The sequence below is a fragment of the Homo sapiens genome, chromosome 9 (assembly GCF_000001405.40).
Source record: "Homo sapiens chromosome 9, GRCh38.p14 Primary Assembly".
NCBI classification, from domain to species: Eukaryota; Metazoa; Chordata; class Mammalia; order Primates; family Hominidae; genus Homo; species Homo sapiens.
In genome coordinates this window covers 18282285-18298779 of record NC_000009.12, presented here as the reverse complement: position 1 = coordinate 18298779, position 16495 = coordinate 18282285, and the positions used below count along the sequence as shown (strand labels likewise).

The 16495-nt window shown below is 38.5% G+C and overlaps 1 protein-coding gene across 10 annotated transcripts in view, besides 1 other annotated feature; it reads right to left on the bottom strand.

The window, feature by feature from the left end:
- Nucleotides 1–16495, bottom strand: part of ADAMTSL1 (ADAMTS like 1) — a 1004318-nt gene that overhangs the window by 612171 nt on the left and 375652 nt on the right. The window lies entirely within an intron of this gene.
- Nucleotides 12469–12970: an enhancer, noted in NCBI's record as "NANOG hESC enhancer chr9:18285808-18286309 (GRCh37/hg19 assembly coordinates)". NCBI's record gives its function as "activates a minimal SCP1, AML or CMV promoter by ChIP-STARR-seq in naive H9 embryonic stem cells {active_cell/tissue: H9 hESC(naive)}" and the evidence as "EXISTENCE:reporter gene assay evidence [ECO:0000049][PMID:30033119]".

The following is a 16495-nucleotide window of genomic DNA, read 5'->3' as shown; positions in this document are numbered from 1 at the left end:
AGTGCTGGGATTACAAGCGTGAGCCACCGAGCCCGGCCTATTATTGTTCTTGACTGACACTAATTACAGGAGAAAACTGCTTACTTCCAGCCTTTTTTTTTTTTTTAACTTGTTAAATGAGAATACTGAGAGTGCTTGCTTTATAGGGTAATTTTGAAGAAGAAATGGTTAAATGATCATAAACACTTGCTCAGTGTTGCTCACAATAAGCACTGAATAACACACGGACACACACGTGCACACACACACACCCTCGTCTTTTACTCAAATATTCTGAGCTGACCTGTCTGGACCAGAGATTATGTTTCTAGGTCAAAATTCAGTCAGTGCTTTGTGCCACATAGTTACTGCTACTGGATTCAAAGCAGCTCCTCCTTCCTTTCATTTTGGATAAGAACACTTTTTGTCATCTGATTTTGCTTTCTGGTGTTCCCTTCAATTAAACAAGAAGAGTCTGTTTCTCTGTAAGACTCATGGGCCGTATATCTTTATTTTTACCCTGCACGGCTCTCTGGTACTTTTGGTATCTTGTCACTCCTTTCCTGTGTGTAAATAATTGCCATACTCCATACCTTTATCTTAATTGGAGTCTCTCAGGAGTTTGCCTTTTATTCTACCCTCCACCCTCACCTGAGCTGTGAATTCTGTCTCTTTACTTTTCCGGGAATACGTCCTAGCTCACAGAATTTGTGCCTGGTTGTGGCAGATTCCAATTGACAAACAATGGGTTAGCAGAATGGAGACTAATTCAAACCTGCAGGTCTGTTTTTATGATGCTACTTTATCATCTCATGTTAAAGAAACAGGTGAAATAGGACGTGGGACTGAATGATAAATGCTGCCAATAAAACAATAGCATCACATCCCCAGCTCCAAAAGGATACCAAATGACCCTCAGAAGACTTTTGCTGCGGTTCAAAGGGTTCTCATTTCTGAAATACTAGGTACAATATTTTTTAACAGAGCAAATAGAGCCCAAGAGATAGTAAGTCTTTTAAACACTTCTCTCCCTTTCCCTTCAGTTAAGAGGAGCCAAGTTAATATATTTTTCTTCAAATTGAGCCCAAGGGACACTACTCACCCCTAGGGGGCTACAAAAGGTATTTGGGAGCCTAACCAGCAGCGAAAGACAGATGGCAGGCTCTGCAGCAACCGCAGGTTCACCTGAGGGATGCATATTAAGCACATGACCTTTTACGGAGCCTTTTTGACACATATTCCTTTTGAATTTGACCCCTTTAATTTTCGTGTGGCAACTTGCAGTTCATGATGCCTTGGGGCTAGTTATAATAAGTTCACGTCTGAGATTACACATCTGATATTTATAAAAACACAAATACTGAAGAACTTTCTCCAGGCAGGAAATGACAAATCTTTGGTAGGCTATTTTCAGGACTTAAAAAAAAAAAAGAAAAAGAAAAAAAGAAAAAAGTTAGTTGGTGATGAACTAACCATTGAGAGTAAAACGATGTTGCCTTACTGCATATTGAAACCAGTTCCTCCTAACAAAAACGCCAAAAGTCACTATCTATACACTTTAATACTGTGCAGTAAGTCCCTGGCAATCCCCAGTAATCTGCAGCATTACACAGACTGCACCAAATGGGACATGAGATAATACGGGCTGACTTAATTAGACTCTGGGATGTGGGAAAATCGTGACCCTGTTAGTCCAATTTTGTTATTTCCCAGCAAATTCCAGTTGGAAAATGTGATCTTCAGGTGATAACACTTCCTTAACTTTTATGTATCTCTTTTTATTACATCAGAAGAGCCTGGTGGAGGTGGTGGTGGTGGCCAGTGGCAGTTCTGGGATGTTTTCTTTTAAAAAGTACTCAACTTCAGCATTTGCCAGCAACTATTGTTTAAGCCTCTGAGATACAAAGTCCTCCTCCAAAGCAATGCTGCATTTTTAGCCTTAAAGGTACAGATTCTTAATTACATTGACCTCCAGCGTAAATGAGAGAAACCACAAGAGAGCCACACTGTGGTTTCTTGCTCAAGGATGATCTACAGTAAAATGCTCAATCCTGGCTCTGTGGACTATTTAGAGCCAGCTATTCCAGCAAAGGACTTTAAACTAGTAAAATACATAGGAACTAAACTCATTGTTCTATTCCCTTTTAAAAAATATCTGTATGTAACTCATTTTTTCTTTTTATTTTGAAAACTTCAAACATATAGAAAAGTTTAAAGAATAATATAATGCAACATTAAGGTTTTACCAAATTTATTTATATGTATATGCATCCATATTTAATATAGATATATAATATTGTTTACTTTTGCTGAACTTTTTGAAAGCTTTGCCATCATGACAATTAACCTCTAAGTTATTTAATATGAATTCTCTTATATCACCATGTCATTATCAAATCTAAGATAAAAATAATTCCCTAATATAATATCCAATGCATATTAAATATTCCTTGTTATCCAAATTTTTTTATTTTATTACAGCTTGTCAATTTGAGGCAGAATCTAATCAAGTTTCACATATTATATTTGGTTATGTTTTATACTCTCTTTTAATCTAGAACAGTCCCTACAACTGTTTTGTTTGTTTGCTTTTTAAAGATCTTGACTTGCTCAAGAGACTAGTTGTCTTTAGAATGTTTCATATTTTGAATTTGTCTGATTTTTCCCTTGAAATATCATTAACTTGTCCCTTTATTTCCTGAATTTTCTGTCAACTAAAAGTTAGGCCTAAAGGCTTGTTTAGATGCAAGGTAAACATTTTTGGCCAGGATACTTCACTGATTATGCATTTCATGTTATATTGCATCATTACCAGGAGGCACATAATACTAGGTTATATTAGTAATACTAAGGTTAATCACTTAATATCACTTAATTAAGGTCGTGACAGATCTCTCCAACATAAGGCATATATTCTTCTTTATGTTAATACATTTTTAAAAATCCAAATGTATGTCTTTTTTGATGGCACTTAATTATATTGTGTAAAATTCATTACAGATTTTATCTAATGCAAGAATTTTTAAGGTCAATCCATGCTTGGAGTATGTACATGAACTATTTAGAATTGTTTGCAAAATGTGGGCATATTCCTGGGCAGGATGAAATTCAAGAAATTTTCCAAGGGAATGAAGACACAAAAGTGATTAAGAATAACAGTTGCAGCCGGGCACCGTGGCTCATGCCTGTAATCCCAACACTTTGGGAGGCCGACGCAGGCAGATCATGAGGTCAAGAGATAGAGACCATCCTGGCCAAAATGGTGAAACTCCATCTCTACTAAAAATACAAAAAATTATCTGGACATGGTGGTGCATGCCTGTAGTCCCAGCTACTCAGGAGGCTGAAGCAGAAGGATTGCTTGAACCCAGGAGGCTGAGGTTGCAGTGAGCCAAGATCGCGCCACTGCACTCCAGCCTGGTGACAGAGTGATACTCTGTCTAAAAAAAAAAAAAATGAATAACGGTTGCAGTCAAAATCTCCATCCTTGAATTCTATTTTAATATCATCCATTTTGCCCTCTCCTTATGTTGGCAATTTGTTGCTTCGTACACTGTGACCTCTCGGTAAAGCTAATGATTTACTGACCTGGGCCCTCATTGCCACAATTAATGAACTCATCACTTTTGGGTTGCAAAGTTGCGTGGCCCATTCTATAGTGACCATGTTATATAGTGCAGCATACAGGTTGATGCTTTCTAAGGACATTAAGCAGCAGCAGCATGCCACACACACATACAGCAAGAGGAAATGGGATGTGAGTGCCTGGGAGGAGAAGGGAGAGACAGCCACACGCTGTGATCTAAGCTGATCTTGGTACTGATAAGAGGAAGGGAGAAAGAGAGCAGAAGAAGGAGCAAAGAGGAAGAGGGAAGATAGAAGAAGGACATAGAAGTCTATCTAATATAACCAAATGAGAGAAAGCATGGCAGGCCTTCCTCTGACTCTTATGACCTATGGGGATTCCCATAAAACACTTGTTCAGTCAGTTTCCTCCAACAGTTACCCACCTTCCACCGGGTATTATTTATTATGTGACTTTATTCTGAAAAATTCTTCAAAATGAAGAACTTGGGGGTATGAGAGAAGGGGGTGCACAGCTCAGTTCAGAGCCCCCTCTGGAGTCTGAAGACTGAGAGCTTTCCTTAGAAAGGGCTCAAGCATTCCCACAGCATTTTCCCTTCCCACTCAGTTCAAGACAGGCCCAGTCTTCCAATATCACCACCAGGCAGTGCCAGCTTAGACTATGTGGCTCCTCTGTGCAAACCTGGAAAAAGGCAACCCACCTGGACAGATGAATTAGACAAAGGTACTCAGCCCCAGGAAAACACAGTCACACGGGCTCCCAGCCCAGCCACAGAACCTGGGCAAGATTTTGGCTCTCTTCACTCCTATGGCTGGGCAGCATTGCTGTTATTTTTAGCACACAAAACAAAAGACCACAATAAGTAGATGCAGGAAAAGCAATTCAAGGAAGAACTTCCTTTTATTTCTGTTTCCAATATTAGAGGAAACCTGAAGAATTCTAAGTTTATAAATACACTCCTGCTAAAGCATCCCACTCCACTAATAAAGTGGATTCTTTTTGAACTTTAAGAAAACCACTCCACATCAACCTGGGAATCAGACGATTTTTGGCGTGAAATTTTAGGTTGGCAATTACAGGTATTTCATTCATATTGGTTCATTTATCCCCAGTAATGCCTCTGTGTTTTATAATGAAAACCTCAGCACAGGAACTCTCCTCGTAAGCCCATGCAGCTGGATGACAACTTAGATTCATGGTTCTGAGTCTGGTAACTGATTTTTCCTATTAGCTTCAAGGAAATATTTTCCCTGTTATTTTATGTTTAGTACAGTTTAATATGGCTATTGTAATATATCACCTCCTCCTCCACCCCATTCTCCAACCCATTTTTGGCCTATTAGAAGCACCATATTCCTTATTTAGTACTTGCAAATCCTTCAGTTGTATAGTCTATATAAGAAACTCATGCAGTCTCTAGAACTAAGACTCACTTTATGGGCAGAAGGTAATACATCTTGACAATAACCAGTTAAACAGAAGGTTATTTTCCTTCCTATATGGGACGGAGCCCACATACAATCCTGCAGAGGGGAAATAAGGCCAAATTGCATATGAAGTGCTCAGTGTCTTATCTTCCCCATGATTCTTCATTTGCTTACTCTGGTATGGCCTGAGAAAAAGTGTGAAGTCAGGAAAGTTCATCTTTTTTCACTCTTTATGCATACCTTTCGGTATTCTCCGCTGAGCTTGGCACCCAGGGCCTGTGCTACCAGCAGGCCCACGGCACTGGCCCAGACAGTATTCTTAAGATGATGACTGCTGGTCTAGTCAATTAATATGATTTTTGAAGTTAACTAGTCTCCAGTTCTTGATGACATATGCCTCCTTGTAGAAGTCACCAAACTACATGGACCAAATGTAGCTGGCAGCTTAATTTATTAAAATAAAGTTTTATTGCTGAACTACTTATTTGATCCAGCAATCCCATTACGGGACAAACATCCAAAAGAAAACAAATTGTTGTACCAAAAAGACACAAGCATTTGCATGTTCACTGTAGCACCATTCACAATAGCAAAGACATGGAATCAACCTAGGTGCCCATCAGTGGTGGATTGGATAAAGAAAATGTGGTACACATACACCACTGAATACGATGCAGCCATAAAGAAGAATAAGATCATGTCTGGCACTTAGTATTCCCTCAAAGTACTAATTATACCTCCTCTTCTTTTTCCAGCTGGTTCTACTCTAATCTTGATACCTCCAATTCCTCAACAACCATGACCGGATTTGAGCCCCTGTATTAGTCAAGGTTCTCTAGAAGGACAGAACTAATAGGATATATGTATATATGAAAGGGAGTTTATTAAAGAGCACTGACTCACATGATCACAAGGTAATCCCATGATAGGTTATCTGCAAGTTGAGGAACAAGGAAGCTAGTGGTGGATCAGTCTCAGTCCCAAAACCTCAAAAGCAGGGAAGCCAACAGTTCAGCCTTCAATCTGTGGCCAAAGACCTGAGAGACCCTGGCAAACCATTGGTTTAAGTCCAACAGACCAAAAGCTGAAGAACTGGGGTCTGATGTTCCAGGGCAGGAAGCATCCAGCACCGGGGAAAGATGAAGGCTGGAAGACTTAGCAAGTCTGCTCTTCCATCTTCTCCTGCTTGCTTTATTCTAGCCACACTGGCAGCTGATTAGATGGTGCCCACCCAGGCTGAGGGAGGGTCTGTCTCTCCCAGTCCACTGACTCAAATGTTAACCTCCTTTGGCAACACCCTCACAGACACACCCAGGAACAGTACTTTACATCCTTCAATCCAATCAAGTTGACGCTCAATATTAATCATCACAGGCCCTAACACTGAGAATTTGCCTACCACGATAGTTTCTTGTTAACTGCTTTACTTACCATTTCATCATACTGCTATCGTACCCATTCCAGCTACCAAGATGGCAAGCTGGCCAAGGCCTCTGCCAATTACCTGCTGTTCACCTCTCCTGCTTGGCCCATCATCTGGACTTTGTATGAACTTCTAAATTAACGGTTCTTAGAAGATCACCTGAAGCTTCCCTTGGAGACTGATCACGCAGATCCAGATCCTTCTTTGGATTGATATTTCCATTTACTAAATGACCAGCTCATGACTTAGGTAGTTTCAGTGCCTAACACTGCTCTGACACAGGCTGGTCTTCTAGGATTAACAAAATTCTGCTTCTGAGTCTCAGCTCTGCTGTTCTTCTCCACTTGCTCTGGTTTCCCTGGGCTACCACCTACTTCACTCAGTTCTTATTACCTTATGGATACAATTCTTAAAATATGGCTGATGAGATGTTGCATGAACAACATTGGCTGCAAAGCGTAAAGGCATATCCCTGTGTGAAGGGCCAGACTCTCACCAGACAGGCAACGGCATTCTTAGTGTCTAGAGGTATGCTTTCTGGACTCTGAAACAGAATTTAAGGAGACTCTCTAAGACAGGTAGGGATGTGTGTGTGTGTGTGTGTGTGTGTGTGTGTGAGAGAGAGAGAGAGAGAGAGAGAGAGAGAGAAAGAGAGAGAGAGAGAGAGCATGTGCGCACCCGAGAGAGAGAGAGAGATGATGGGGAGAGATTGTCTTTTGGTCTTGATTATAATGGTGGGCAAGAATCCAGTAGTCAGATCTTCAGTGGGAAGTATAAAGACAGACAAAGGGAGTCTACATAAGGCAATTATGAAATGCACGAAATGGTTCAATCACCTTGGGGCTAAAGTAGGTGTTTCAAGACAGTAAGTTGAGGAGGACAGTGCACAAGAGCCACATTTGCTGCTATATCTTCAGCACCTAGAATAGTGCCTAGCATACCAGAGGTGCTAGGATTTATGGAGTGAATGAATAAATGAGAGCATCAGAGTCTCTAGTTTGTAAGCTGGCTTTTGTTCCCTGAGGAACCATCTGATATTATTGAAGCGTTCTGACTTATTCATGAATAAATATGAAATCAATTTTAATTTTCCAGTAATTGCTACCAATGGGTATCAAGCTTCATTTTAGTTCTTAGGATTTAGTATCATTTATTTTAGAAATTAAGTCTCATTTAATTCTGAGCCCTCTTCCTCTCTTCTTCCTCAGCTTACCTACATATCCCTAGCTAGATGACTTAGGATAAAATCTCATCTCTCACCCAATTCATAAGTCAGCTTTAGTGGCCCGGGTGCGGTGGCTCACGCCTGTAATCCCAGCACTTTGGGAGGCTGAGGTGGGCGGATCACAAGGTCAGGAGACAGAGACCATCCTGGCTAACAAGGTGAAACCCCGACTCTACTAAATATACAAAAAATTAGCCAGGCGCCGTGGCAGGCACCTGTAGTCCCAGCTACTTGGGAGGCTGAGGCAGGAGAATGGCGTGAACCTGGGAGGCAGAGCTTGTAGTGAGCCAAGATGGCGCCACTGCACTCCAGCCTGGGCGACAGAGCGAGACTCTGCCTCAAAAAAAAAAAAAAAAAACACACAAAAAAAGCCAGCTTTCAACCCTGAGCCCTTACCACTCTGTGATCAAGTAGGGTAAAGGGGAACACTGCCTGTGGTGATTCCTTCTTTCATTGGTTGTTTTCCTTTCTAGTCTAATACTAGATGGCATAGATTCTAGCTGCATGGTTGGTTTCTTTCATCAAGTATGGATGTTGGTTTGGGGGAAGATCCTGTTGTGGTCTTTTACATCACAGCCCCCATGTGAGAGAGCCATTTTAAAACTGGCCTCTTCCCTACCCTATCCCAAGCCTCTACCATGGCTATTAGCTTTGTGGGGCCAGGAAGGAAAGAATTTTTGCAAGATGGTTCAACCCCAGCCACATTCTTTGGTGTCCATGTGATCTATGGTGAACTCACATTGGCTCAGCACACCAAATAGTGGGAATACACGTCTCCTCACTGTCCCTTCTCACTGCTTTGTCATCTTGCTCCTGCCAATTTCTCCACACCCCTGCAGCACTAGAAAAAAAAAAAAATCTAATCCCCTGGCATAGCGGCTTTCAAGGAAAAGATCAACCTAGTCCTGACTTAATGGGAATGGTGATGAGTGCTGTATAGGCACTCTTGCTTTTTATCAAGGAACGTGGAGGGTTCAAGTTGAATCACCTCTTCTATTAAAAGATATGTATCCTTGCCTGTCATTTTCTTATATCCCTTGATGATTAAGGTTCCCAAACAGTCCAGTCTTTTTGGTCTTGGAAGGCACAGGCACACTCACACTGAAAAATTATCCTCTTTGAACCTGCTGTGAAGGATTTGCTAACTTTTTCTTAGAGGGTATCATCTCCATTTGCCATAACACACTCCAGAGGGTAAAAAAAACTCAGTATTTCTCACTAGCTGGTTACCTTTGCAATCATTGTATTTGTTTTCATGTTGTTTTCCTTTGAATTATAAACTGGAAACTTTGCTGAAAGTTCCAGCCTGTCTTGAGAAGTCAAGAGAAGAAAGTTTTTCATACTTTGGCCCGAATATTAAAAAATAGAGCTGGTGTCTCTCTAGGTATCAACAGCTGAATAAAAATGAAAGAAACTTGAGGAAAGAGCTCAGGAAAAAGATCATTTTGTCATCCTTTCCTCCTCAACATGATCATACCTATCATAGCCAGATCTGAGAAGTCAGGGTTTTCTGGTAACTGAGCCTCTCTGGCTGATTGCAGATAAAGTCCTGGCTACTGAGCAGTCTTCCCTGTTAATAGAATACTGGCTCCTTGGGAAACAATCTCAGCAACTCTATACACCACCCTGGTATTCTGATTCCTATGGTTGGCTGAACTCTGTATCATTGCATTATCTCAAGTCTTTCTCTTGGTCCTGGCTTTTGGTAAATTTGGATGGTTAATTTTATGTGTGAACTTGACTGGGCCACAAGATGCCCAGCTACTTGGTTAAACATCATTCTGGGTATCTGTGAGGGTACTTCTTAGCCCTCCAAACTCAGACTGGAACTATACCATCAGTTCTCCTGGGTATCCAACTTGCCAAGTGCAGAAACTGGGACTTTAGTCTCCATAAATAATGTGAGCCAAGGCCTTATAGTAATTATATCTATATCCATATCTCTCTATAGATAGATAGGTAGGTAGATAGATAGATAGATAGATAGATAGATAGATAGATAGACAGACATATATATACACCAATAAGATATGTATTAGGTATATATCTTTTTGGTTCTATTTCTTTGGAGAACCCAGACTAATATATAATTCTACTACCTCTAACTTAGACTCATATAATTTACAGTTTAAAGTAATTTTCAGGATCATCTGGTATAATTACTTTGAAAGTAAAGAAACCACAGGCTAGAAAGACTAAGGAACTCACCTACAGTTTCACAATGCCAATCAATTCAGTTCCTTAAACACTGTCTTCTATAGTGAACTAGTCCATTTATACCACACTGGCTTCCTAACTTCTGATTTAGATCATACTCTTTGTTTCTGGTTCTTGTCAAATTATCCTGGGAACAGCCAGGGCAGCCATCAGGCTGAAGAGACCTGAGGGTATTTCTCATTTTTGTGAATCCTTTCTAGAGCTGGCTGGCTTCTTTAGCCTCTGCTGCCTCTTTTACTTTCTTTTCTTTTTTTCTTTATCTTTTTCTTTTCCTTTCCCTTTTGCCTGTTTGCCTTCCTACCTTCCTGTCTTCCTGCCTTCTTGCCTTCCTGGCTTCTGCCTCTGTGAAGTAGTTTGAATGAAGGGAACTTAGAGAATCTCAAATCATATGTCTAAAGCAGCTAATCACATGACCTAAGTAATGTATACAATATTAAGAAACCTAACTCAGTTTTAAAGGAAGTCCTTCTAAGTAACATAGTCCTTTAAAGTTGAGAAATTCAGAACTGCTACATTTAAAGAACAAAAAAAATAACAAATACCTAAGCAAACAAGCAAACAGAAAAATATGTAGTAACATAAACCTTCTCCAGAGGATTTCTCCAGATGGTGCGCCCAACTTGGTTCTTTCTTGATAACTGCTTTGACTGCCGGAGACATTGACCTGGGATTTCTCATTGGATAACTGTCTTAATTTCCAGTGTATGCGTTCTCGTTGGTCTGTTTATACTGGCCAGCAGCTTCCAAGATTGTCGACTGAATGTGATATAAGGTTTCATTCCTATTTCACCTAGAATTTCCCAATCATGTGCCCCATTTATTTTGCCCATCCTGGTTTGTCATCCTCTCTCTCCACTCCCCACAGCCAGTGCCACCGCTCAGGCTCAGTTCTTTCAAGCCCAGTCCTAGGTATGATCCAAAGCAGAACTCAATCTCAATACACTTTAGAAGGACTGTCAGTAAAAAAGTTCTGTACATTTTAATTTGCTAAGCTGAGCTTATCATTAATTACATATACTTCAGGGAGTAGGAGAAAAACTTGAATGGGATTAGAGGAGCAATGAATAGTTTGACAGTAATATAATTTACTATGATTATATTAGTGTTCCACTATGGTTCTGTGGGATCCTTCCCAACTGGAAGACTATATATATGCACCCCAATATATCTCCCTGTGGGAACCACAAAGGGGGATACTCACATATATATGTAAATATATGTACATATATGTAATATATTTATGTATGTATACACATACATATATGTGTATATGTATACACATACATATATGCGTATATGTATACACATACATATATGCATATATGTGTGTATATATACACATATATTTACATATATGTAATATTTCTACATGTATGTATATGTATTTTACATATATGTAAATATATTACATATGTGCACATATAAATACATGCATTACATATCTGAACATACATTTACATATATGTGTAAAATACACATACATATATGTAGAAATATTACAGATATATAAATATATGTGTATGTGCATATATACACACATATATACATGTATGTGTGTATATGTATGTATGTGTATATATACACACACGTGTGTGTGTGTATACATACATATGTATATACGTATGTACTTCCATTGATGCCAGGCTGAGCCATGTAATTTACTTTGCCCAATGGAATGAGAGCCAAAACAGTGTTTTATCTTCAAGCAGAGCTTTAAGACTTTGTAGGTGGCTTGTCACCTTTTTCTTCTTCAGTGATACTGGCAATATCCAGTAACAAGGCCATATTATCAGCTTGGATCCTGGAGGGAGGCTGCAGGAGGTACAACCACAGTTGACCCATGGCAGACATATAACAGAAGAATGGAAGAAACTCATATTTGTTAGTGTAGGGCACTGAGAATTTGGGATTATTTGTTACCCTTGGCCTATCCTGGCTGATAGTGTTTTATACAGTTTATCTCTTAAGTTGTTTTTAATAGATTCACAAAGACTAAATGCTATTTTATATACATTGCAGTTGAAAGGAATATTCTCTTTGTTATTTAAGGGAGATTGAAGGAAAATCTATATTTTATAACATAAACACAAAATCTGTGAATTAGTCTAGTGAATTAATTATATGTTTTTTATAGTTAGGTGGGAATCTTTCTAGTCTTTGGAGACTAAAAAGAAATGTGTTCTCTTCTATGGAAAATTCTCTTATAGGAATGGGCCTGATAATGCATAATCCTAGAAGTTATTTTGATAACTCTAGGGAATTTAACATGAAGTATGAGCACAGATTCAGAAAGACCCTATTACTTTCCAATATTTCTGGACTGCTGCATTAAAATGATTATATCTGAAAACCATAAACTGCTATAGAAACACAAAGTATCTACTATCATTATCTTTGGATGCAAGTTCTGTTTATTACAGGGCTATAAGGATTTCTTGCTCTCTGACCCTGTCTCTCTACCCTCTAATTTTCAAACAGGAGCCAGCTAACTAGTCAAGTATCTTTTAAAAAGAAGAATAGAAAGGAGCCAACAAAAAGTTTATCATCATCATGTATATTCAAAGGAAGTTAAATAAGTTAATACATATTCACTGAGTCCATTCATGTATTTCATGAACATTTTATGTACTACTTTTCTAAGTTTAAATGTGCTTAGACTGAATACAGAATCATAACTAGGTTTCTGTTTTTAGATATATAGACCACGTTAAACAATTTCCCTCCAAATTTCACACATAGATGGAAAAGTGTTTGCTAGAACATGGTTGGCCCACAAGGTTGATTTGAGTACTGTCCTCCAACACAGAAATGATGCTTTTCTTTTCTTATTTAAACAGTACTTAGCAAAACAAATACAGGTGTAAATCCACAGAGAGAGAGAGAGAGAGAAAGTAACCAGTTGCATAGAGCTAGGGGGTTGGGAACTTGGAGAATGACTGCTATCGAGTTTCTTTTGGGAGTGATGAAAATGTTCTTAGATAGAACATAGTGGTGGCTGTGCAGTCTTATGAATATGCTAAAAAACCCAGTCAATTGCACACTTTAAATGGGTGAGTTTTATTGTACTGTACATGAATTATATCTTGATAATGCTGTTATATGTAAGAAAACAGAAACAAACAGCAAAAATTCTAATATTGGAGAAGCCATAAGCACAATATCAAAGGTAAAAATAATAAAGATAAAGAGTGGTATATTTGACTACAGTAAGAATTAAACCATTCAAAATGATTATAAACAAAGGAAAGGGACAAACTAGGATAACATGATGACAAAGTGTCAACACCCCGCCACAACAAGGTTCCTTATATATAATTTTAAAAAAAGAAAAAAGAAAATTTTGAAATGAAAGTAGGTTATAGCTACAGAGTTTCCAAAATAGTATAAATAGCTAATAATTGTATTTAAAAGGTGAAACACACTAGAAACTAATAAACTGCAGTAGCTAGAACTCTACAATTAATGTCAGATCACTATAGAGTATAATATTACTCTATTAATGTTTGTGACTTTAGACAAATTATTGACTCTCTTATCTCTCATATTGACCCTCACTCTCATCAGTACAATGGGGTATGTATTTCAGAGGGTCATATAAGAATTAAATTAGATAACATATAAAGTATTCAGCATAGCACAGGGAATATAGTAAAATTCAATAAATGCTATTATGATTTTATTCCTTACTATAAAATTGGCATATATGATATCATAAAATATGTAGTACAAAGGAACGGACACTTTTATATACTGCCTTTGAGAGTTTGAATATATTTATTTTTTGGTAGGACAATTTAGCTAGACCCAACAAACACCTTAAAAACAACTTTAAAAATACTGTTGAATATCCAACCATTCATTGTAGGGATTTACCCTAAGAAAATCATGAGATGTGTCCAAAGATACAAATACAAAGATGTTCCTTGAATGATTGTTTGAACATAGAAAAACATTGAAAGTGACCAAAATGTTCAATAGTCTTAGATTGATTAAACAGACTGTGGCACATCTACACAATGAAACACTAAACTGCCATTAATATGATAACGGATAGTTTTCTATTTATTCATATAAAATATTAATAACAGATAGCTGAGAAAAATCAGATAATACAGCAATATATAATATGCTGCTTTCTGGATAAAAAATAAATATCCATACTTGCATTAAAAGTCTGGAAGGAAATAAAATACGAGCAGTAGTATTATCTTTGGGTTATGAAATAATAGTTAAGTTTTATTTTCTTCTTTATGTTAAACAAAAATTCAACATGATCACATAGGAAACAGATGACATATTACTTGAGGCCGTGAGTTTTGGACTCAGACTGCCTGGTTACAAAACCTGGTGCTGCTACTTTCTAACTCTGTTATTTACACCTGTTTCCTCATTTATCATAAGAAATAGTGCAGACATTTCATTAAAGTAATACAAGTAATTCTGATGAAGCAACATGGAATTCTGAAATATCACATCATCAAAAATGTATATGATATAATATTAAATAAAGATGGAAAGTTCTAATGGTAGAAAAAATTTAACTGCTAAAACCGAATATGCTAAAATTGGTACATAAGCATATGGACAAAGTCTGGAATAGAAAGGGGGAAAATAAAAAGCAACTGTGGTGGTATCATCATCTATTTTTTATCTAAAAAATGTTTTTTTAATTCTTTTTTTATTTTATTTTTTTGAGATGGAGTTTTGCTATTGTTGCCCAGGCTGGAGTGCAATGGTGTGACCTCGGCTCACTGCAACCTCTGCCTCCCAGGTTCGAGCAATTCTCCTGCCTCAGCCTCCCGAGTAGTGGAATTACAGGAATGTGTGACCACGCCCAGCTAATTTTCTATTTTTAGTAGAGATGGGGTTTCTCCATGTTGGTGAGGCTGGTCTCGAACTGCTGACTTCAGGTGATCTGCCCTCCTCGGCCTCCCAAAGTGCTGGGATTACAGGTGTGAGCCACCACACCCAGCCTTCTTCTTCTTCTTCTTCTTTTTTTTTTTTTTAGACGGAGTCTTGCTCTGTTGCCCAGGCTAGAGTGCAGTGGCACAATCTCAATCTCAGCTCACTGCAAGCTCCGCCTCCTGGGTTCATGCCATTCTCCTGCCTCAGCCTCCCGAGTAGCTGGGACTACAGGCGCCCGCCACCATGCCTGGCTAATTTTTTGTATTTTTAGTAGAGATGTGGTTTCACTGTGTTAGGCAGGATGGTCTCGATCTCCTGACCTCGTGATCTGCCTGCCTCAGTCTCCCAAAGTGCTAGGATTACAGGCTTGAGCCACTGCACCCAGCCTTTTTTTTTTTTTTTTTTTTTTTAAGATACAGTTTCTCATTCCTTCAACCACTGTGGTTTGCAGTGGTGCAATCATGGCTCACTGCAGCCTCAACTTCCCAGGCTCAAGCGAACTTCCTGCCACAGCCTCCCAAGTAGCTGTGACTACAGGTGTGTACCATCATACTCAGTTAACTTTTAAAATTTTCTATAGAGATGGGGCCTCACTATGTTGACCAGGTTGTTTTCAAAGTTCTGGGCTTAAGTGATCCTCCTGCCTTGGCCTCCCAAAGTGCTGGCATTACAGTCATGAACCACTACACCTGGTTAAAGATAGGTTTAAAGTAAAAGGATGGAAAAATACATCACGCAGAGGATGAGCATAAGACTGGAGAGATGATATTAATATCAGACAAAATAGATCTTAAGACAAAAATATTGCTAGAGAAAGAGAGGAGTATTTTATAATGATAAAGGATCAAAGATATACCAATTATAAGAGTATATAAACTTATGCACCTAACAACAAAGCAACCAAACAAATGAAGCAAAAATTAAGATTGAAAAGAAAATAGACACATCAAAAATTATAGTTGATTTCAATTCTCTTCTTTTAAACAACTGTTAGAAAAGGTAGACAAAAATTCAGAAAAGGTACAGAAGATTTAAAAACTATATAAACCACCAGAACTAACTGACATGTATAGAAAACTTCAGGTTAAAAACAAACACATATTCTTTTCTTTTCTTTTTTGAGACGGAGTTTCACTCTTGTTGCCCAGGCTGGAGTGCAATGGTGCAATCTTGGCTCACTGCAAACTCTGTCTCCCGGGTTCAAGCGATTCTCCTGCCTCAGCCTCCCCAGTAGCTGGGATTACAGGCCTGCGCTACCACAGCCGGCTAATTTTGTATTTTTAGTAGAGATGGGGTTTCTCCATGTTGGTCAGGCTGGTGTTGAATTCTGGACCTCAGGTGATCTGCCTGCATCTGTCTCCCAAAGTGCTAGGATTACAGGCGTGAGCCACTGCACCCGGCCACGTACTCTTTTCAAGTGCACATGGAATATTCACCAGCACAGACCATATTCTAAGCCATAAAGCAAGCCTGAATAAATTTTAAAGAGCTGAAATTTTATTTTTTAACCACAGCAGAATTTAAATAGAAATGAGTCATATAAATTAATCTGAGAAATTCCCACATATTGTTACAATTCAAAGTAACCCATGAATAGCAAACGAAAATAAATCATGATATAAAGAAGATACCTCCTGCACTTGTATGTTCATTGCAGCACTATTCACAATAGCAAAGTCATGGAACCAACATAATTGTCTATCGATAGTTGACTGGATACAGAAAATTTGATA